Source organism: Homo sapiens, chromosome X (assembly GCF_000001405.40).
Source record: "Homo sapiens chromosome X, GRCh38.p14 Primary Assembly".
Lineage (NCBI taxonomy): Eukaryota > Metazoa > Chordata > Mammalia > Primates > Hominidae > Homo > Homo sapiens.
The window spans coordinates 59,768,446-59,792,615 of NC_000023.11; the positions used below are offsets into that span (position 1 = coordinate 59,768,446).

General features: G+C 40.6%; 1 annotated feature.

Annotated features, from left to right (window-relative positions):
* Nucleotides 1-24,170: part of a centromere (Linear centromere model derived predominantly from reads generated in PMID: 17803354. This region does not represent an actual centromere sequence, as long-range ordering of repeats and unmapped WGS contigs is not provided by the model. For details of model production, see http://arxiv.org/abs/1307.0035.) that runs on past both edges of the window.

Genomic DNA, 24,170 nt, shown 5'->3' on the forward strand with positions numbered 1-24,170 from the left:
GACCTCTTTGAAGATTTCACTGGAAACGGGATCATCTTCACATAAAAACTAAACAGAAGCATTCTCGGAAACTACTTTGTGATGTTTGTATTCAACTCCCAGAGTTGAACTTTCCTTTTGAAAGAGCAGCTATGAAACACTCTTTTTCGAGAATCTGCAAGTGGACGTTTGGAGGGCTTTGAGGCCTGTGGTGGAAAAGGAAATATCTTCACATTAAAACTAGATAGAATCATTCTCAGAAACGACTTTGTGAGGATGGCATTCAACTCATGGAGTTGAACAATCCTATTGATAGAGCAGATTGGAATCACTCTTTTTGTAGAATCTGCAAATGGAGATTTGGACTGCTTTGAGGCCTACGGTAGTATAGGAAGGAACTTCATATAAAAGGCAAACGGAAGCATTCTCAGAATATTCTTTGTGATGATGGAGTTTCACTCACAGAGCTGAACATGCCTTTTGATGGAGCAGTTTCCAAATACACTTTTGGTAGAATCTGCAGGTGGATATTTGGAGCTCTCTGAGGATTTCGTTGGAAACGGGAATAATTTCCCATAACTAAACACAAACACTCTGAGAAAGTTCTTCATGATGAATGCATTTAACTCGCAGAGATGAACCTGCCTTTGAGAGTTCAGGTTCGAAACACTCTTTCTGTATAATCTGCAAGTGGATATTTGGACCACTGGGTGGCCTTCGTTCGAAACGGGTATATGTTCACGTAAAAACTAAAGAGAAGCATTCTCAGAAACTTCTGAGTGATGATTGCATTCAAGTCACACAGTTGAACCCTCCTTTTGATGGAGCAGTTTTGAAACTGTCTTTTTGTAGAATCTGTAAGTGGATACGTGGACCTCTTTGAAGATTTCTTTGGAAACGGGAATATTTCCACAGAAAAACTAAACTGAAGCATTCTCAGAAACCGCTTTGTGATGTTTGTGTTCGAGCCACAGAGTTTAACATTGCTTTTCATAGAGCAGTTTTGAAATATTCTTTTCGCAGAATCTGCAAGTGGACATTTGGAGCGCTTTCAGGCCTGTGGTGGCAAAGGCCTGAAAGCCTTTTCCTTTATCTTCACAGAAAGACGAGAGAGAAGCATTGTCAGAAACTTCTTTGTGATGATTGCATTCAACTCACAGAGTTGAAGATTCCTTTTGAAACAGCAGTTTCGAAACACTCTTTCTGTGGGATCCGCAAGGGGATATTTGGACCTCTTTGAAGGTTTCGTTGGAAACGGGATAATCTTCACCTAAAAGCTAAACGGAAGCATTCTCAGAAACTTCTTTGGGATGTTTGCATTCACCTCACAGAGTTGAACTTTCCCTTTGATAGCGCAGCTTTGACACACTTTTTCTACAATGTGCAAGTGGCTATTTAGCGGGCTTGGGGGACTGTGTTGGAAAAGGAAATATCTTCTCCTAAAAACGACATAGAAGCATTCTCAGAAACTGCTCTGTGATGATTGCATTCAACTCCCAGAGTTGAACATTCCTTTTGATAGAGCAGTTTGCAAACACTCTTTTTGTAGAATCTGCAAGTGGAGATTTGGACCGCTTTGAGGCCTGTGGTAGTGAAGGAAAGAACTTCATATAAAAACCAGACGGTAGCACTCTCAGAAAATTCTTTGTGACGATGGAGTTTAACTCAGGGAGCTGAACATTCGTTATGATGGAGCAGTTTCCGAACACACGTTTTGTAGAATCTGCAAGGGGATATTTGGACCTCTCTGAGGATTTCATTGGAAACGGGATCAACTTCCCATAACTGAACGGAAGCAAACTCAGAACATTCTTTGTGATGTTTGTATTCAACTCCCAGAGTTGAAATTTCCTTTTGAAAGAGCAGCTATGAAACACTCTTTTTCGAGAATCTGCAAGTGGACGTTTGGAGGGCTTTGAGGCCTGTGGTGGAAAAGGAAATATCTTCACATAAAAACTAGATAGAAGCATTCTCAGAAACTACTTTGTGAGGATGGCATTCAACTCATGGAGTTGAACAATCCTATTGATAGAGCAGATTGGAATCACTCTTTTTGTAGAATCTGCAAATGGAGATTTGGACTGCTTTGAGGCCTACGGTAGTATAGGAAGGAACTTCATATAAAAGGCAAACGGAAGCATTCTCAGAATATTCTTTGTGATGATGGAGTTTCACTCACAGAGCTGAACATGCCTTTTGATGGAGCAGTTTCCAAATACACTTTTGGTAGAATCTGCAGGTGGATATTTGGAGCTCTCTGAGGATTTCGTTGGAAAAGGGAATAATTTCCCATAACTAAACACAAACACTCTGAGAAAGTTCTTCATGATGAATGCATTTAACTCGCAGAGATGAACCTGCCTTTGAGAGTTCAGGTTCGAAACACTCTTTCTGTAGAATCTGCAAGTGGATATTTGGACCACTGGCTGGCCTTCGTTCGAAACGGGTATATGTTCACGTAAAAACTAAAGAGAAGCATTCTCAGAAACTTCTGAGTGATGATTACATTCAAGTCACACAGTTGAACCCTCCTTTTGATTGAGCAGTTTTGAAACTGTCTTTTTGTAAAATCTGTAAGTGGATACGTGGACCTCTTTGAATATTTCTTTGGAAACGGGAATATTTCCACAGAAAAACTAAACTGAAGCATTCTCAGAAACTGCTTTGTGATGTTTGTGTTCGAGCCACAGAGTTTAACATTGCTTTTCATAGAGCAGTTTTGAAATATTCTTTTGGCAGAATCTGCAAGTGGACATTTGGAGCGCTTTCAGGCCTGTGGTTGAAAAGGCCTGAAAGCCTTTTCCTTTATCTTCACAGAAAGACGAGAGAGAAGCATTGTCAGAAACTTCTTTGTGATGATTGCATTCAACTCACAGAGTTGAAGATTCCTTTTGAAACAGCAGTTTCGAAACACTCTTTCTGTGGGATCCGCAAGGGGATATTTGGACCTCTTTGAAGCTTTCGTTGGAAACGGGATAATCTTCACCTAAAAGCTAAACGGAAGCACTCTCAGAAACTTCTTTGGGATGTTTGCATTCACCTCACAGAGTTGAACTTTCCCTTTGATAGCGCAGCTTTGACACACTTTTTCTACAATGTGCAAGTGGATATTTAGCGGGCGTGGAGGACTGTGTTGGAAAAGGAAATATCTTCTCCTAAAAACGACATAGAAGCATTCTCAGAAACTGCTCTGTGATGATTGCATTCAACTCCCAGGGTTGAACATTCCTTTTGATAGAGCAGTTTGCAAACACTCTTTTTGTAGAATCTGCAAGTGGAGATTTGGACCGCTTTGAGGCCTATGGTAGTAAAGGAAAGAACTTCATATAAAAACCAGACGGTAGCACTCTCAGAAAATTCTTTGTGACGATGGAGTTTAACTCAGGGAGCTGAACATTCGTTATGATGGAGCAGTTTCCAAACACACGTTTTGTAGAATCTGCAAGGGGATATTTGGACCTCTCTGAGGATTTCGCTGGAAACGGGATCAACTTCCCATAACTGAACGGAAGCAAACTCAGAACATTCTTTGTGATGTTTGTATTCAACTCACAGAGTTGAACCTTCCTTTGATAGTTCAGGTTTGCAACACCCTTGTAGTAGAATCTGCAAGTGTATATTTTGACCACTTTGTAGCCTTCGTTTGAAACGTCTATATCTTCACATCAAACCTAGAAAGAAGCATTCTCAGAAAGTTTTCTGCGATGACTGCATTCAACTCACAGAGTTGAACAATCCTTCTGATGGAGCAGTTTTGAAACCCTCTTTCTTTGGAATCTGCAAGGGGATATGTGGACCTCTTTGAAGATTTCACTGGAAACGGGATCATCTTCACATAAAAACTAAACAGAAGCATTCTCGGAAACTATTTTGTGATGTTTGTATTCAACTCCCAGAGTTGAACTTTCCTTTTGAAAGAGCAGCTATGAAACACTCTTTTTCGAGAATCTGCAAGTGGACGTTTGGAGGGCTTTGAGGCCTGTGGTGGAAAAGGAAATATCTTCACACAAAAACCAGATAGAAGCATTCTCAGAAACTACTTTGTGAGGATGGCATTCAACTCATGGAGTTGAACAATCCTATTGATAGAGCAGATTGGAATCACTCTTTTTGTAGAATCTGCAAATGGAGATTTGGACTGCTTTGAGGCCTACGGTCGTATAGGAAGGAACTTCAGATAAAAGGCAAACGGAAGCATTCTCAGAATATTCTTTGTGATGATGGAGTTTCACTCACAGAGCTGAACATGCCTTTTGATGGAGCAGTTTCCAAATACACTTTTGGTAGAATCTGCAGGTGGATATTTGGACCACTCTGAGGATTTCGTTGGAAACGGGAATAATTTCCCATAACTAAGCACAAACACTCTGAGAAAGTTCTTCATGATGAATGCATTTAACTCGCAGAGATGAACCTGCCTTTGAGAGTTCAGGTTCGAAACACTCTTTCTGTATAATCTGCAAGTGGATATTTGGACCACTGGGTGGCCTTCGTTCGAAACGGGTATATGTTCACGTAAAAACTAAAGAGAAGCATTCTCAGAAACTTCTGAGTGATGATTGCATTCAAGTCACACAGTTGAACCCTCCTTTTGATGGAGCAGTTTTGAAACTGTCTTTTTGTAGAATCTGTAAGTGGATACGTGGACCTCTTTGAAGATTTCTTTGGAAACGGGAATATTTCCACAGAAAAACTAAACTGAAGCATTCTCAGAAACTGCTTTGTGATGTTTGTGTTCGAGCCACAGAGTTTAACATTGCTTTTCATAGAGCAGTTTTGAAATATTCTTTTGGCAGAATCTGCAAGTGGACATTTGGAGCGCTTTCAGGCCTGTGGTGGAAAAGGCCTGAAAGCCTTTTCCTTTATTTTCACAGAAAGACGAGAGAGAAGCATTGTCAGAAACTTCTTTGTGATGATTGCATTCAACTCACAGAGTTGAAGATTCCTTTTGAAACAGCAGTTTCGAAACACTCTTTCTGTGGGATCCGCAAGGGGATATTTGGACCTCTTTGAAGGTTTCGTTGGAAACGGGATAATCTTCACCTAAAAGCTAAACGGAAGCATTCTCAGAAACTTCTTTGGGATGTTTGCATTCACCTCACAGAGTTGAACTTTCCCTTTGATAGCGCAGCTTTGACACACTTTTTCTACAATGTGCAAGTGGCTATTTAGCGGGCTTGGAGGATTGTGTTGGAAAAGGAAATATCTTCTCCTAAAAACGACATAGAAGCATTCTCAGAAACTGCTCTGTGATGATTGCATTCAACTCCCAGAGTTGAACATTCCTTTTGATAGAGCAGTTTGCAAACACTCTTTTTGTAGAATCTGCAAGTGGAGACTTGGACCGCTTTGAGGCCTGTGGTAGTGAAGGAAAGAACTTCATATAAAAACCATACGGTAGCACTCTCAGAAAATTCTTTGTGACGATGGAGTTTAACTCAGGGAGCTGAACATTCGTTATGATGGAGCAGTTTCCAAACACACGTTTTGTAGAATCTGCAAGGGGATATTTGGACCTCTCTGAGGATTTCGTTGGAAACGGGATCAACTTCCCATAACTGAACGGAAGCAAACTCAGAACATTCTTTGTGATGTTTGTATTCAACTCACAGAGTTGAACCTTCCTTTGATAGTTCAGGTTTGCAACACCCTTGTAGTAGAATCTGCAAGTGTATATTTTGACCACTTTGTAGCCTTCGTTTGAAACGTCTATATCTTCACATCAAACCTAGAAAGAAGCATTCTCAGAAAGTTTTCTGCGATGACTGCATTCAACTCACAGAGTTGAACAATCCTTCTGATGGAGCAGTTTTGAAACCCTCTTTCTTTGGAATCTGCAAGGGGATATGTGGACCTCTTTGAAGATTTCACTGGAAACGGGATCATCTTCACATAAAAACTAAACAGAAGCATTCTCGGAAACTACTTTGTGATGTTTGTATTCAACTCCCAGAGTTGAACTTTCCTTTTGAAAGAGCAGCTATGAAACACTCTTTTTCGAGAATCTGCAAGTGGACGTTTGGAAGGCTTTGAGGCCTGTGGTGGAAAAGGAAATATCTTCACATAAAAACTAGATAGAAGCATTCTCAGAAACGACTTTGTGAGGATGGCATTCAACTCATGGAGTTGAACAATCCTATTGATAGAGCAGATTGGAATCACTCTTTTTGTAAAATCTGCAAATGGAGATTTGGACTGCTTTGAGGCCTACGGTCGTATAGGAAGGAACTTCAGATAAAAGGCAAACGGAAGCATTCTCAGAATATTCTTTGTGATGATGGAGTTTCACTCACAGAGCTGAACATGCCTTTTGATGGAGCAGTTTCCAAATACACTTTTGGTAGAATCTGCAGGTGGATATTTGGAGCTCTCTGAGGATTTCGTTGGAAACGGGAATAATTTCCCATAACTAAACACAAACACTCTGAGAAAGTTCTTCATGATGAATGCATTTAACTCGCAGAGATGAACCTGCCTTTGAGAGTTCAGGTTCGAAACACTCTTTCTGTAGAATCTGCAAGTGGATATTTGGACCACTGGGTGGCCTTCGTTCGAAACGGGTATATGTTCACGTAAAAACTAAAGAGAAGCATTCTCAGAAACTTCTGAGTGATGATTGCATTCAAGTCACACGGTTGAACCCTCCTTTTGATGGAGCAGTTTTGAAACTGTCTTTTTGTAGAATCTGTAAGTGGATACGTGGACCTCTTTGAAGATTTCTTTGGAAACGGGAATATTTCCACAGAAAAACTAAACTGAAGCATTCTCAGAAACCGCTTTGTGATGTTTGTGTTCGAGCCACAGAGTTTAACATTGCTTTTCATAGAGCAGTTTTGAAATATTCTTTTCGCAGAATCTGCAAGTGGACATTTGGAGCGCTTTCAGGCCTGTGGTGGAAAAGGCCTGAAAGCCTTTTCCTTTATCTTCACAGAAAGACGAGAGAGAAGCATTGTCAGAAACTTCTTTGTGATGATTGCATTCAACTCACAGAGTTGAAGATTCCTTTTGAAACAGCAGTTTCGAAACACTCTTTCTGTGGGATCCGCAAGGGGATATTTGGACCTCTTTGAAGGTTTCGTTGGAAACGGGATAATCTTCACCTAAAAGCTAAACGGAAGCATTCTCAGAAACTTCTTTGGGATGTTTGCATTCACCTCACAGAGTTGAACTTTCCCTTTGATAGCGCAGCTTTGACACACTTTTTCTACAATGTGCAAGTGGCTATTTAGCGGGCTTGGAGGACTGTGTTGGAAAAGGAAATATCTTCTCCTAAAAACGACATAGAAGCATTCTCAGAAACTGCTCTGTGATGATTGCATTCAACTCCCAGAGTTGAACATTCCTTTTGATAGAGCAGTTTGCAAACACTCTTTTTGTAGAATCTGCAAGTGGAGATTTGGACCGCTTTGAGGCCTGTGGTAGTGAAGGAAAGAACTTCATATAAAAACCAGACGGTAGCACTCTCAGAAAATTCTTTGTGACGATGGAGTTTAACTCAGGGAGCTGAACATTCGTTATGATGGAGCAGTTTCCAAACACACGTTTTGTAGAATCTGCGAGGGGATATTTGGACCTCTCTGAGGATTTCGTTGGAAACGGGATCAACTTCCCATAACTGAACGGAAGCAAACTCAGAACATTCTTTGTTATGTTTGTATTCAACTCACAGAGTTGAACCTTCCTTTGATAGTTCAGGTTTGCAAAACCCTTGTAGTAGAATCTGCAAGTGTATATTTTGACCACTTTGTAGCCTTCGTTTGAAACGTCTATATCTTCACATCAAACCTAGACAGAAGCATTCTCAGAAAGTTTTCTGCGATGACTGCATTCAACTCACAGAGTTGAACAATCCTTTTGATGGAGCAGTTTTGAAACCCTCTTTCTTTGGAATCTGCAAGGGGATATGTGGACCTCTTTGAAGATTTCACTGGAAACGGGATCATCTTCACATAAAAACTAAACAGAAGCATTCTCGGAAACTATTTTGTGATGTTTGTATTCAACTCCCAGAGTTGAACTTTCCTTTTGAAAGAGCAGCTATGAAACACTCTTTTTCGAGAATCTGCAAGTGGACGTTTGGAGGGCTTTGAGGCCTGTGGTGGAAAAGGAAATATCTTCACACAAAAACCAGATAGAAGCATTCTCAGAAACGACTTTGTGAGGATGGCATTCAACTCATGGAGTTGAACAATCCTATTGATAGAGCAGATTGGAATCACTCTTTTTGTAGAATCTGCAAATGGAGATTTGGACTGCTTTGAGGCCTACGGTAGTACAGGAAGGAACTTCATATAAAAGGCAAACGGAAGCATTCTCAGAATATTCTTTGTGATGATGGAGTTTCACTGACAGAGCTGAACATGCCTTTTGATGGAGCAGTTTCCAAATACACTTTTGGTAGAATCTGCAGGTGGATATTTGGAGCTCTCTGAGGATTTCGTTGGAAACGGGAATAATTTCCCATAACTAAACACAAACACTCTGAGAAAGTTCTTCATGATGAATGCATTTAACTCGCAGAGATGAACCTGCCTTTGAGAGTTCAGGTTCGAAACACTCTTTCTGTAGAATCTGCAAGTGGATATTTGGACCACTGGGTGGCCTTCGTTCGAAACGGGTATATGTTCACGTAAAAACTAAAGAGAAGCATTCTCAGAAACTTCTGAGTGATGATTGCATTCAAGTCACACAGTTGAACCCTCCTTTTGATGGAGCAGTTTTGAAACTGTCTTTTTGTAGAATCTGTAAGTGGATACGTGGACCTCTTTGAAGATTTCTTTGGAAACGGGAATATTTCCACAGAAAAACTAAACTGAAGCATTCTCAGAAACTGCTTTGTGATGTTTGTGTTCGAGCCACAGAGTTTAACATTGCTTTTCATAGAGCAGTTTTGAAATATTCTTTTAGCAGAATCTGCAAGTGGACATTTGGAGCGCTTTCAGGCCTGTGGTGGAAAAGGCCTGAAAGCCTTTTCCTTTATCTTCACAGAAAGACGAGAGAGAAGCATTGCCAGAAACTTCTTTGTGATGATTGCATTCAACTCACAGAGTTGAAGATTCCTTTTGAAACAGCAGTTTCGAAACACTCTTTCTGTGGGATCCGCAAGGGGATATTTGGACCTCTTTGAAGGTTTCGTTGGAAACGGGATAATCTTCACCTAAAAGCTAAACGGAGCATTCTCAGAAACTTCTTTGGGATGTTTGCATTCACCTCACAGAGTTGAACTTTCCCTTTGATAGCGCAGCTTTGACACACTTTTTCTACAATGTGCAAGTGGCTATTTAGCGGGCTTGGAGGACTGTGTTGGAAAAGGAAATATCTTCTCCTAAAAACGACATAGAAGCATTCTCAGAAACTGCTCTGTGATGATTGCATTCAACTCCCAGAGTTGAACATTCCTTTTGATAGAGCAGTTTGCAAACACTCTTTTTGTAGAATCTGCAAGTGGAGATTTGGACCGCTTTGAGGCCTGGGGTAGTGAAGGAAAGAGCTTCATATAAAAACCAGACGGTAGCACTCTCAGAAAATTCTTTGTGACGATGGAGTTTAACTCAGGGAGCTGAACATTCGTTATGATGGAGCAGTTTCCAAACACACGTTTTGTAGAATCTGCAAGGGGATATTTGGACCTCTCTGAGGATTTCGTTGGAAACGGGATCAACTTCCCATAACTGAACGGAAGCAAACTCAGAACATTCTTTGTGATGTTTGTATTCAACTCACAGAGTTGAACCTTCCTTTGATAGTTCAGGTTTGCAACACCCTTGTAGTAGAATCTGCAAGTGTATATTTTGACCACTTTGTAGCCTTCGTTTGAAACGTCTATATCTTCACATCAAACCTAGACAGAAGCATTCTCAGAAAGTTTTCTGCGATGACTGCATTCAACTCACAGAGTTGAACAATCCTTCTGATGGAGCAGTTTTGAAACCCTCTTTCTTTGGAATCTGCAAGGGGATATGTGGACCTCTTTGAAGATTTCACTGGAAACGGGATCATCTTCACATAAAAACTAAACAGAAGCATTCTCGGAAACTACTTTGTGATGTTTGTATTCAACTCCCAGAGTTGAACTTTCCTTTTGAAAGAGCAGCTATGAAACACTCTTTTTCGAGAATCTGCAAGTGGACGTTTGGAGGGCTTTGAGGCCTGTGGTGGAAAAGGAAATATCTTCACATAAAAACTAGATAGAAGCATTCTCAGAAACTACTTTGTGAGGATGGCATTCAACTCATGGAGTTGAACAATCCTATTGATAGAGCAGATTGGAATCACTCTTTTTGTAGAATCTGCAAATGGAGATTTGGACTGCTTTGAGGCCTACGGTAGTATAGGAAGGAACTTCATATAAAAGGCAAACGGAAGCATTCTCAGAATATTCTTTGTGATGATGGAGTTTCACTCACAGAGCTGAACATGCCTTTTGATGGAGCAGTTTCCAAATACACTTTTGGTAGAATCTGCAGGTGGATATTTGGAGCTCTCCGAGGATTTCGTTGGAAACGGGAATAATTTCCCATAACTAAACACAAACACTCTGAGAAAGTTCTTCATGATGAATGCATTTAACTCGCAGAGATGAACCTGCCTTTGAGAGTTAATGTTCGAAACACTCTTTCTGTAGAATCTGCAAGTGGATATTTGGACCACTGGCTGGCCTTCGTTCGAAACGGGTATATGTTCACGTAAAAACTAAAGAGAAGCATTCTCAGAAACTTCTGAGTGATGATTGCATTCAAGTCACACAGTTGAACCCTCCTTTTGATGGAGCAGTTTTGAAACTGTCTTTTTGTAGAATCTGTAAGTGGATACGTGGACCTCTTTGAAGATTTCTTTGGAAACGGGAATATTTCCACAGAAAAACTAAACTGAAGCATTCTCAGAAACCGCTTTGTGATGTTTGTGTTCGAGCCACAGAGTTTAACATTGCTTTTCATAGAGCAGTTTTGAAATATTCTTTTCGCAGAATCTGCAAGTGGACATTTGGAGCGCTTTCAGGCCTGTGGTGGAAAAGGCCTGAAAGCCTTTTCCTTTATCTTCACAGAAAGACGAGAGAGAAGCATTGTCAGAAACTTCTTTGTGATGATTGCATTCAACTCACAGAGTTGAAGATTCCTTTTGAAACAGCAGTTTCGAAACACTCTTTCTGTGGGATCCGCAAGGGGATATTTGGACCTCTTTGAAGGTTTCGTTGGAAACGGGATAATCTTCACCTAAAAGCTAAACGGAAGCATTCTCAGAAACTTCTTTGGGATGTTTGCATTCACCTCACAGAGTTGAACTTTCCCTTTGATAGCGCAGCTTTGACACACTTTTTCTACAATGTGCAAGTGGCTATTTAGCGGGCTTGGAGGACTGTGTTGGAAAAGGAAATATCTTCTCCTAAAAACGACATAGAAGCATTCTCAGAAACTGCTCTGTGATGATTGCATTCAACTCCCAGAGTTGAACATTCCTTTTGATAGAGCAGTTTGCACACACTCTTTTTGTAGAATCTGCAAGTGGAGATTTGGACCGCTTTGAGGCCTGTGGTAGTGAAGGAAAGAACTTCATATAAAAACCAGACGGTAGCACTCTCAGAAAATTCTTTGTGACGATGGAGTTTAACTCAGGGAGCTGAACATTCGTTATGATGGAGCAGTTTCCAAACACACGTTTTGTAGAATCTGCAAGGGGATATTTGGACCTCTCTGAGGATTTCGTTGGAAACGGGATCAACTTCCCATAACTGAACGGAAGCAAACTCAGAACATTCTCTGCGATGTTTGTATTCAACCCACAGAGTTGAACCTTCCTTTGATAGTTCAGGTTTGCAACACCCTTGTAGTACATTCTGCAAGTGTATATTTTGACCACTTTGTAGCCTTCGTTTGAAACGTCTATATCTTCACATCAAACCTAGACAGAAGCATTCTCAGAAAGTTTTCTGCGATGACTGCATTCAACTCACAGAGTTGAACAATCCTTTTGATGGAGCAGTTTTGAAACCCTCTTTCTTTGGAATCTGCAAGGGGATATGTGGACCTCTTTGAAGATTTCACTGGAAACGGGATCATCTTCACATAAGAACTAAACAGAAGCATTCTCGGAAACTACTTTGTGATGTTTGTATTCAACTCCCAGAGTTGAACTTTCCTTTTGAAAGAGCAGCTATGAAACACTCTTTTTCGAGAATCTGCAAGTGGACGTTTGGAGGGCTTTGAGGCCTGTGGTGGAAAAGGAAATATCTTCACATAAAAACTAGATAGAAGCATTCTCAGAAACGACTTTGTGAGGATGGCATTCAACTCATGGAGTTGAACAATCCTATTGATAGAGCAGATTGGAATCACTCTTTTTGTAGAATCTGCAAATGGAGATTTGGACTGCTTTGAGGCCTACGGTAGTATAGGAAGGAACTTCATATAAAAGGCAAACGGAAGCATTCTCAGAATATTCTTTGTGATGATGGAGTTTCACTCACAGAGCTGAACATGCCTTTTGATGGAGCAGTTTCCAAATACACTTTTGGTAGAATCTGCAGGTGGATATTTGGACCTCTCTGAGGATTTCGTTGGAAACGGGAATAATTTCCTATACCTAAACACAAACACTCTGAGAAAGTTCTTCATGATGAATGCATTGAACTCGCAGAGATGAACCTGCCTTTGAGAGTTCAGGTTCGAAACACTCTTTCTGTAGAATCTGCAAGTGGATATTTGGACCACTGTGTGGCCTTCGTTCGAAACGGGTATATGTTCACGTAAAAACTAAAGAGAAGCGTTCTCAGAAACTTCTGAGTGATGATTGCATTCAAGTCACACGGTTGAACCCTCCTTTTGATTGAGCAGTTTTGAAACTGTCTTTTTGTAGAATCTGTAAGTGGATGCGTGGACCTCTTTGAAGATTTCTTTTGAAACGGGAATATTTCCACAGAAAAACTAAACTGAAGCATTCTCAGAAACTGCTTTGTGATGTTTGTGTTCGAGCCACAGAGTTTAACATTGCTTTTCATAGAGCAGTTTTGAAATATTCTTTTGGCAGAATCTGCAAGTGGACATTTGGAGCGCTTTCAGGCCTGTGGTGGAAAAGGCCTGAAAGCCTTTTCCTTTATCTTCACAGAAAGACGAGAGAGAAGCATTGTCAGAAACTTCTTTGTGATGATTGCATTCAACCCACAGAGTTGAAGATTCCTTTTGAAACAGCAGTTTCGAAACACTCTTTCTGTGGGATCCGCAAGGGGATATTTGGACCTCTTTGAAGATTTCGTTGGAAACGGGATAATCTTCACCTAAAAGCTAAACGGAAGCATTCTCAGAAACTTCTTTGGGATGTTAGCATTCACCTCACAGAGTTGAACTTTCCCTTTGATAGCGCAGCTTCGACACACTTTTTCTACAATGTGCAAGTGGATATTTAGCGGGCTTGGAGGACTGTGTTGGAAAAGGAAATATCTTCTCCTAAAAACGACATAGAAGCATTCTCAGAAACTGCTCTGTGATGATTGCATTCAACTCCCAGAGTTGAACATTCCTTTTGATAGAGCAGTTTGCAAACACTCTTTTTGTAGAATCTGCAAGTGGAGATTTGGACCGCTTTGAGGCCTGTGGTAGTAAAGGAAAGAACTTCATATAAAAACCAGACGGTAGCACTCTCAGAAAATTCTTTGTGACGATGGAGTTTAACTCAGAGAGCTGAACATTCGTTATGATGGAGCAGTTTCCAAACACACGTTTTGTAGAATCTGCAAGGGGATATTTGGACCTCTCTGAGGATTTCGTTGGAAACGGGATCAACTTCCCATAACTGAACGGAAGCAAACTCAGAACATTCTTTGTGATGTTTGTATTCAACTCACAGAGTTGAACCTTCCTTTGATAGTTCAGGTTTGCAACACCCTTGTAGTAGAATCTGCAAGTGTATATTTTGACCACTTTGTAGCCTTCGTTTGAAACGTCTATATCTTCACATCAAACCTAGAAAGAAGCATTCTCAGAAAGTTTTCTGCGATGACTGCATTCAACTCACAGAGTTGAACAATCCTTTTGATGGAGCAGTTTTGAAACCCTCTTTCTTTGGAATCTGCAAGGGGATATGTGGACCTCTTTGAAGATTTCACTGGAAACGGGATCATCTTCACATAAGAACTAAACAGAAGCATTCTCGGAAACTACTTTGTGATGTTTGTATTCACCTCCCAGAGTTGAACTTTCCTTTTGAAAGAGCAGCTATGAAACACTCTTTTTCGAGAATCTGCAAGTGGACGTTTGGAGGGCTTTGAGGCCTGTGGTGGAAAAGGAAATATCTTCACATAAAAACTAGATAGAAGCATTCTCAGAAACTACTTTGTGAGGACGGCATTCAACTCATGGAGTTGAACAGTCCTATTGATAGAGCAGATTGGAATCACTCTTTTTGTAGAATCTGCAAATGGAGATTTGCACTGCTTTGAGGCCTACGGTAGTATAGGAAGGAACTTCATATAAAAGGCAAACGGAAGCATTCTCAGAATATTCTTTGTGATGATGGAGTTTCACTCACAGGGCTGAACATGCCTTTTGATGGAGCAGTTTCCAAATACACTTTTGGTAGAATCTGCAGGTGGATATTTGGAGCTCTCTGAGGATTTCGTTGGAAACGGGAATAATTTCCCATAACTAAACACAAACACGCTGAGAAAGTTCTTCATGATGAATGCATTTAACTCGCAGAGATGAACCTGCCTTTGAGAGTTCAGGTTCGAAACACTCTTTCTGTAGAATCTGCAAGTGGATATTTGGACCACTGGCTGGCCTTCGTTCGAAACGGGTATATGTTCACGTAAAAACTAAAGAGAAGCGTTCTCAGAAACTTCTGAGTGATGATTGCATTCTAGTCACACAGTTGAACCCTCCTTTTGATTGAGCAGTTTTGAAACTGTCTTTTTGTAGAATCTGTAAGTGGATGCGTGGACCTCTTTGAAGATTTCTTTGGAAACGGGAATATTTCCACAGAAAAACTAAACTGAAGCATTCTCAGAAACCGCTTTGTGATGTTTGTGTTCGAGCCACAGAGTTTAACATTGCTTTTCATAGAGCAGTTTTGAAATATTCTTTTCGCAGAATCTGCAAGTGGACATTTGGAGCGCTTTCAGGCCTGTGGTGGAAAAGGCCTGAAAGCCTTTTCCTTTATCTTCACAGAAAGACGAGAGAGAAGCATTGTCAGAAACTTCTTTGTGATGATTGCATTCAACTCACAGAGTTGAAGATTCCTTTTGAAACAGCAGTTTCGAAACACTCTTTCTGAGGGATCCGCAAGGGGATATTTGGACCTCTTTGAAGGTTTCGTTGGAAGCGGGATAATCTTCACCTAAAAGCTAAACGGAAGCACTCTCAGAAACTTCTTTGGGATGTTTGCATTCACCTCACAGAGTTGAACTTTCCCTTTGATAGCGCAGCTTTGACACACTTTTTCTACAATGTGCAAGTGGCTATTTAGCGGGCTTGGAGGACTGTGTTGGAAAAGGAAATATCTTCTCCTAAAAACGACATAGAAGCATTCTCAGAAACTGCTCTGTGATGATTGCATTCAACTCCCAGGGTTGAACATTCCTTTTGATAGAGCAGTTTGCAAACACTCTTTTTGTAGAATCTGCAAGTGGAGATTTGGACCGCTTTGAGGCCTATGGTAGTAAAGGAAAGAACTTCATATAAAAACCAGACGGTAGCACTCTCAGAAAATTCTTTGTGACGATGGAGTTTAACTCAGGGAGCTGAACATTCGTTATGATGGAGCAGTTTCCAAACACACGTTTTGTAGAAACTGCAAGGGGATATTTGGACCTCTCTGAGGATTTCGCTGGAAACGGGATCAACTTCCCATAACTGAACGGAAGCAAACTCAGAACATTCTTTGTGATGTTTGTATTCAACTCACAGAGTTGAACCTTCCTTTGATAGTTCAGGTTTGCAACACCCTTGTAGTAGAATCTGCAAGTGTATATTTTGACCACTTTGTAGCCTTCGTTTGAAACGTCTATATCTTCACATCAAACCTAGACAGAAGCATTCTCAGAAAGTTTTCTGCGATGACTGCATTCAACTCACAGAGTTGAACAATCCTTTTGATGGAGCAGTTTTGAAACCCTCTTTCTTTGGAATCTGCAAGGGGATATGTGGACCTCTTTGAAGATTTCACTGGAAACGGGATCATCTTCACATAAAAACTAAACAGAAGCATTCTCGGAAACTACTTTGTGATGTTTGTATTCAACTCCCAGAGTTGAACTTTCCTTTTGAAAGAGCAGCTATGAAACACTCTTTTTCGAGAATCTGCAAGTGGACGTTTGGAGGGCTTTGAGGCCTGTGGTGGAAAAGGAAATATCTTCACATAAAAACTAGATAGAAGCATTCTCAGAAACGACTTTGTGAGGATGGCATTCAACTCATGGAGTTGAACAATCCTATTGATAGAGCAGATTGGAATCACTCTTTTTGTAGAATCTGCAAATGGAGATTTGGACTGCTTTGAGGCCTACGGTAGTATAAGAAGGAACTTCATATAAAAGGCAAAAGGAAGCATTCTCAGAATATTCTTTGTGATGATGGAGTTTCACTCACAGAGCTGAACATGCCTTTTGATGAAGCAGTTGCCAAATACACTTTTGGTAGAATCTGCAGGTGGATATTTGGACCTCTCTGAGGAATTTCGTTGGAAACGGGAATAATTTCCCATACCTAAACACAAACACTCTGAGCAAAGTTCTTCATGATGAATGCATTGAACTCGCAGAGATGAACCTGCCTTTGAGAGTTCAGGTTCGAAACACTCTTTCTGTAGAATCTGCAAGTGGATATTTGGACCACTGGCTGGCCTTCGTTGGAAACGGGTATATGTTCACGTAAAAACTAAAGAGAAGCATTCTCAGAAACTTCTGAGTGATGATTGCATTCAAGTCACACGGTTGAACCCTCCTTTTGATTGAGCAGTTTTGAAACTGTCTTTTTGTAGAATCTGTAAGTGGATACGTGGACCTCTTTGAAGATTTCTTTGGAAACGGGAATATTTCCACAGAAAAACTAAACTGAAGCATTCTCAGAAACGGCTTTGTGATGTTTGTGTTCGAGCCACAGAGTTTAACATTGCTTTTCATAGAGCAGTTTTGAAATATTCTTTTGGCAGAATCTGCAAGTGGACATTTGGAGCGCTTTCAGGCCTGTGGTGGAAAAGGCCTGAAAGCCTTTTCCTTTATCTTCACAGAAAGACGAGAGAGAAGCATTGTCAGAAACTTCTTTGTGATGATTGCATTCAACTCACAGAGTTGAAGATTCCTTTTGAAACAGCAGTTTCGAAACACTCTTTCTGTGGGATCCGCAAGGGGATATTTGGACCTCTTTGAAGGTTTCGTTGGAAACGGGATAATCTTCACCTAAAAGCTAAACGGAAGCATTCTCAGAAATTTCTTTGGGATGTTTGCATTCACCTCACAGAGTTGAACTTTCCCTTTGATAGCGCAGCTTTGACACACTTTTTCTACAATGTGCAAGTGGCTATTTAGCGGGCTTGGAGGACTGTGTTGGAAAAGGAAATATCTTCTCCTAAAAACGACATAGAAGCATTCTCAGAAACTGCTCTGTGATGATTGCATTCAACTCCCAGAGTTGAACATTCCTTTTGATAGAGCAGTTTGCAAACACTCTTTTTGTAGAATCTGCAAGTGGAGATTTGGACCGCTTTGAGGCCTGTGGTAGTGAAGGAAAGAACTTCATATAAAAACCAGACGGTAGCACTCTCAGAAAATTCTTTGTGACGATGGAGTTTAACTCAGGGAGCTGAACATTCGTTATGATGGAGCAGTTTCCAAACACACGTTTTGTAGAATCTGCAAGGGGATATTTGGACCTCTCTGAGGATTTCGTTGGAAACGGGATCAACTTCCCATAACTGAACGGAAGCAAACTCAGAACATTCTTTGTGATGTTTGTATTCAACTCACAGAGTTGAACCTTCCATTGATAGTTCAGGTTTGCAACACCCTTGTAGTAGAATCTGCAAGTGTATATTTTGACCACTTTGTAGCCCTTCGTTTGAAACGTCTATATCTTCACATCAAACCTAGACAGAAGCATTCTCAGAAAGTTTTCTGCGATGACTGCATTCAACTCACAGAGTTGAACAATCCTTCTGATGGAGCAGTTTTGAAACCCTCTTTCTTTGGAATCTGCAAGGGGATATGTGGACCTCTTTGAAGATTTCACTGGAAACGGGATCATCTTCACATAAAAACTAAACAGAAGCATTCTCGGAAACTACTTTGTGATGTTTGTATTCAACTCCCAGAGTTGAACTTTCCTTTTGAAAGAGCAGCTATGAAACACTCTTTTTCGAGAATCTGCAAGTGGACGTTTGGAGGGCTTTGAGGCCTGTGGTGGAAAAGGAAATATCTTCACATAAAAACTAGATAGAAGCATTCTCAGAAACAACTTTGTGAGGATGGCATTCAACTCATGGAGTTGAACAATCCTATTGATAGAGCAGATTGGAATCACTCTTTTTGTAGAATCTGCAAATGGAGATTTGGACTGCTTTGAGGCCTACGGTCGTATAGGAAGGAACTTCATATAAAAGGCAAACGGAAGCATTCTCAGAATATTCTTTGTGATGATGGAGTTTCACTCACAGAGCTGAACATGCCTTTTGATGGAGCAGTTTCCAAATACACTTTTGGTAGAATCTGCAGGTGGATATTTGGACCTCTCTGAGGATTTCGTTGGAAACGGGAATAATTTCCCATAACTAAACACAAACACTCTGAGAAAGTTCTTCATGATGAATGCATTTAACTCGCAGAGATGAACCTGCCTTTGAGAGTTCAGGTTCGAAACACTCTTTCTGTAGAATCTGCAAGTGGATATTTGGACCACTGGCTGGCCTTCGTTCGAAACGGGTATATGTTCACGTAAAAACTAAAGAGAAGCATTCTCAGAAACTTCTGAGTGATGATTGCATTCAAGTCACACAGTTGAACCCTCCTTTTGATGGAGCAGTTTTGAAACTGTCTTTTTGTAGAATCTGTAAGTGGATACGTGGACCTCTTTGAAGATTTCTTTGGAAACGGGAATATTTCCACAGAAAAACTAAACTGAAGCATTCTCAGAAACCGCTTTGTGATGTTTGTGTTCGAGCCACAGAGTTTAACATTGCTTTTCACAAAGCAGTTTTGAAATATTCTTTTGGCAGAATCTGCAAGTGGACATTTGGAGCGCTTTCAGGCCTGTGGTGGCAAAGGCCTGAACGCCTTTTCCTTTATGTTCACAGAAAGACGAGAGAGAAGCATTGTCAGAAACTTCTTTGTGATGATTGCATTCAACTCACAGAGTTGAAGATTCCTTTTGAAACAGCAGTTTCGAAACACTCTTTCTGTGGGATCCGCAAGGGGATATTTGGACCTCTTTGAAGGTTTCGTTGGAAACGGGATAATCTTCACCTAAAAGCTAAACGGAAGCATTCTCAGAAACTTCTTTGGGATGTTTGCATTCACCTCACAGAGTTGAACTTTCCCTTTGATAGCGCAGCTTTGACACACTTTTTCTACAATGTGCAAGTGGCTATTTAGCGGGCTTGGAGGACTGTGTTGGAAAAGGAAATATCTTCTCCTAAAAACGACATAGAAGCATTCTCAGAAACTGCTCTGTGATGATTGCATTCAACTCCCAGAGTTGAACATTCCTTTTGATAGAGCAGTTTGCAAACACTCTTTTTGTAGAATCTGCAAGTGGAGATTTGGACCGCTTTGAGGCCTGTGGTAGTGAAGGAAAGAACTTCATATAAAAACCAGACGGTAGCACTCTCAGAAAATTCTTTGTGACGATGGAGTTTAACTCAGGGAGCTGAACATTCGTTATGATGGAGCAGTTTCCAAACACACGTTTTGTAGAATCTGCAAGGGGATATTTAGACCTCTCTGAGGATTTCGTTGGAAACGGGATCAACTTCCCATAACTGAACGGAAGCAAACTCAGAACATTCTTTGTGATGTTTGTATTCAACTCACAGAGTTGAACCTTCCTTTGATAGTTCAGGTTTGCAACACCCTTGTAGTAGAATCTGCAAGTGTATATTTTGACCACTTTGTAGCCTTCGTTTGAAACGTCTATATCTTCACATCAAACCTAGACAGAAGCATTCTCAGAAAGTTTTCTGCGATGACTGCATTCAACTCACAGAGTTGAACAATCCTTCTGATGGAGCAGTTTTGAAACCCTCTTTCTTTGGAATCTGCAAGGGGATATGTGGACCTCTTTGAAGATTTCACTGGAAACGGGATCATCTTCACATAAAAACTAAACAGAAAGCATTCTCGGAAACTATTTTGTGATGTTTGCATTCAACTCCCAGAGTTGAACTTTCCTTTTGAAAGAGCAGCTATGAAACACTCTTTTTCGAGAATCTGCAAGTGGACGTTTGGAGGGCTTTGAGGCCTGTGGTGGAAAAGGAAATATCTTCACACAAAAACCAGATAGAAGCATTCTCAGAAACTACTTTGTGAGGATGGCATTCAACTCATGGAGTTGAACAATCCTATTGATAGAGCAGATTGGAATCACTCTTTTTATAGAATCTGCAAATGGAGATTTGGACTGCTTTGAGGCCTACGGTAGTACAGGAAGGAACTTCATATAAAAGGCAAACGGAAGCATTCTCAGAATATTCTTTGTGATGATGGAGTTTCACTCACAGAGCTGAACATGCCTTTTGATGGAGCAGTTTCCAAATACACTTTTGGTAGAATCTGCAGGTGGATATTTGGAGCTCTCTGAGGATTTCGTTGGAAACGGGAATAATTTCCCATAACTAAACACAAACACTCTGAGAAAGTTCTTCATGATGAATGCTTTTGACTCGCAGAGATGAACCTGCCTTTGAGAGTTCAGGTTCGAAACACTCTTTCTGTAGAATCTGCAAGTGGATATTTGGACCACTGGGTGGCCTTCGTTCGAAACGGGTATATGTTCACGTAAAAACTAAAGAGAAGCATTCTCAGAAACTTCTGAGTGATGATTGCATTCAAGTCACACAGTTGAACCCTCCTTTTGATGGAGCAGTTTTGAAACTGTCTTTTTGTAGAATCTGTAAGTGGATACGTGGACCTCTTTGAAGATTTCTTTGGAAACGGGAATATTTCCACAGAAAAACTAAACTGAAGCATTCTCAGAAACTGCTTTGTGATGTTTGTGTTCGAGCCACAGAGTTTAACATTGCTTTTCATAGAGCAGTTTTGAAATATTCTTTTCGCAGAATCTGCAAGTGGACATTTGGAGCGCTTTCAGGCCTGTGGTGGAAAAGGCCTGAAAGCCTTTTCCTTTATCTTCACAGAAAGACGAGAGAGAAGCATTGTCAGAAACTTCTTTGTGATGATTGCATTCAACTCACAGAGTTGAAGATTCCTTTTGAAACAGCAGTTTCGAAACACTCTTTCTGTGGGATCCGCAAGGGGATATTTGGACCTCTTTGAAGGTTTCGTTGGAAACGGGATAATCTTCACCTAAAAGCTAAACGGAAGCATTCTCAGAAACTTCTTTGGGATGTTTGCATTCACCTGACAGAGTTGAACTTTCCCTTTGATAGCGCAGCTTTGACACACTTTTTCTACAATGTGCAAGTGGCTATTTAGCGGGCTTGGAGGACTGTGTTGGAAAAGGAAATATCTTCTCCTAAAAACGACATAGAAGCATTCTCAGAAACTGCTCTGTGATGATTGCATTCAACTCCCAGAGTTGAACATTCCTTTTGATAGAGCAGTTTGCAAACACTCTTTTTGTAGAATCTGCAAGTGGAGATTTGGACCGCTTTGAGGCCTGTGGTAGTGAAGGAAAGAACTTCATATAAAAACCAGACGGTAGCACTCTCAGAAAATTCTTTGTGACGATGGAGTTTAACTCAGGGAGCTGAACATTCGTTATGATGGAGCAGTTTCCAAACACACGTTTTGTAGAATCTGTGAGGGGATATTTGGACCTCTCTGAGGATTTCGTTGGAAACGGGATCAACTTCCCATAACTGAACGGAAGCAAACTCAGAACATTCTTTGTGATGTTTGTATTCAACTCACAGAGTTGAACCTTCCTTTGATAGTTCAGGTTTGCAACACCCTTGTAGTAGAATCTGCAAGTGTATATTTTGACCACTTTGTAGCCTTCGTTTGAAACGTCTATATCTTCACATCAAACCTAGACAGAAGCATTCTCAGAAAGTTTTCTGCGATGACTGCATTCAACTCACAGAGTTGAACAATCCTTCTGATGGAGCAGTTTTGAAACCCTCTTTCTTTGGAATCTGCAAGGGGATATGTGGACCTCTTTGAAGATTTCACTGGAAACGGGATCATCTTCACATAAAAACTAAACAGAAGCATTCTCGGAAACTACTTTGTGATGTTTGTATTCAACTCCCAGAGTTGAACTTTCCTTTTGAAAGAGCAGCTATGAAACACTCTTTTTCGAGAATCTGCAAGTGGACGTTTGGAGGGCTTTGAGGCCTGTGGTGGAAAAGGAAATATCTTCACATAAAAACTAGATAGAAGCATTCTCAGAAACGACTTTGTGAGGATGGCATTCACCTCATGGAGTTGAACAATACTATTGATAGAGCAGATTGGAATCACTCTTTTTGTAGAATCTGCAAATGGAGATTTGGACTGCTTTGAGGCCTACGGTCGTATAGGAAGGAACTTCATATAAAAGGCAAACGGAAGCATTCTCAGAATATTCTTTGTGATGATGGAGTTTCACTCACAGAGCTGAACATGCCTTTTGATGGAGCAGTTTCCAAATACACTTTTGGTAGAATCTGCAGGTGGATATTTGGAGCTCTCTGAGGATTTCTTTGGAAACGGGAATAATTTCCCATAACTAAACACAAACACTCTGAGAAAGTTCTTCATGATGAATGCATTTAACTCGCAGAGATGAACCTGCCTTTGGGAGTTCAGGTTCGAAACACTCTTTCTGTAGAATCTGCAAGTGGATATTTGGACCACTGGGTGGCCTTCGTTCGAAACGGGTATATGTTCACGTAAAAACTAAAGAGAAGCATTCTCAGAAACTTCTGAGTGATGATTGCATTCAAGTCACACAGTTGAACCCTCCTTTTGATGGAGCAGTTTTGAAACTGTCTTTTTGTAGAATCTGTAAGTGGATACGTGGACCTCTTTGAAGATTTCTTTGGAAACGGGAATATTTCCACAGAAAAACTAAACTGAAGCATTCTCAGAAACCGCTTTGTGATGTTTGTGTTCGAGCCACAGAGTTTAACATTGCTTTTCACAGAGCAGTTTTGAAATATTCTTTTCGCAGAATCTGCAAGTGGACATTTGGAGCGCTTTCAGGCCTGTGGTGGAAAAGGCCTGAAAGCCTTTTCCTTTATCTTCACAGAAAGACGAGAGAGAAGCATTGTCAGAAACTTCTTTGTGATGATTGCATTCAACTCACAGAGTTGAAGATTCCTTTTGAAACAGCAGTTTCGAAACACTCTTTCTGTGGGATCCGCAAGGGGATATTTGGACCTCTTTGAAGGTTTCGTTGGAAACGGGATAATCTTCACCTAAAAGCTAAACGGAAGCATTCTCAGAAACTGCTCTGTGATGATTGCATTCAACTCCCAGAGTTGAACATTCCTTTTGATAGAGCAGTTTGCAAACACTCTTTTTGTAGAATCTGCAAGTGGAGATTTGGACCGCTTTGAGGTCTGTGGTAGTGAAGGAAAGAACTTCATATAAAAACCACACGGTAGCACTCTCAGAAAATTCTTTGTGACGATGGAGTTTAACTCAGGGAGCTGAACATTCGTTATGATGGAGCAGTTTCCAAACACACGTTTTGTAGAATCTGCAAGGGGATATTGGGACCTCTCTGAGGATTTCGTTGGAAACGGGATCAACTTCCCATAACTGAACGGAAGCAAACTCAGAACATTCTTTGTGATGTTTGTATTCAACTCACAGAGTTGAACCTTCCTTTGATAGTTCAGGTTTGCAACACCCTTGTAGTAGAATCTGCAAGTGTATATTTTGACCACTTTGTAGCCTTCGTTTGAAACGTCTATATCTTCACATCAAACCTAGAAAGAAGCATTCTCAGAAAGTTTTCTGCGATGACTGCATTCAACTCACAGAGTTGAACAATCCTTTTGATGGAGCAGTTTTGAAACCCTCTTTCTTTGGAATCTGCAAGGGG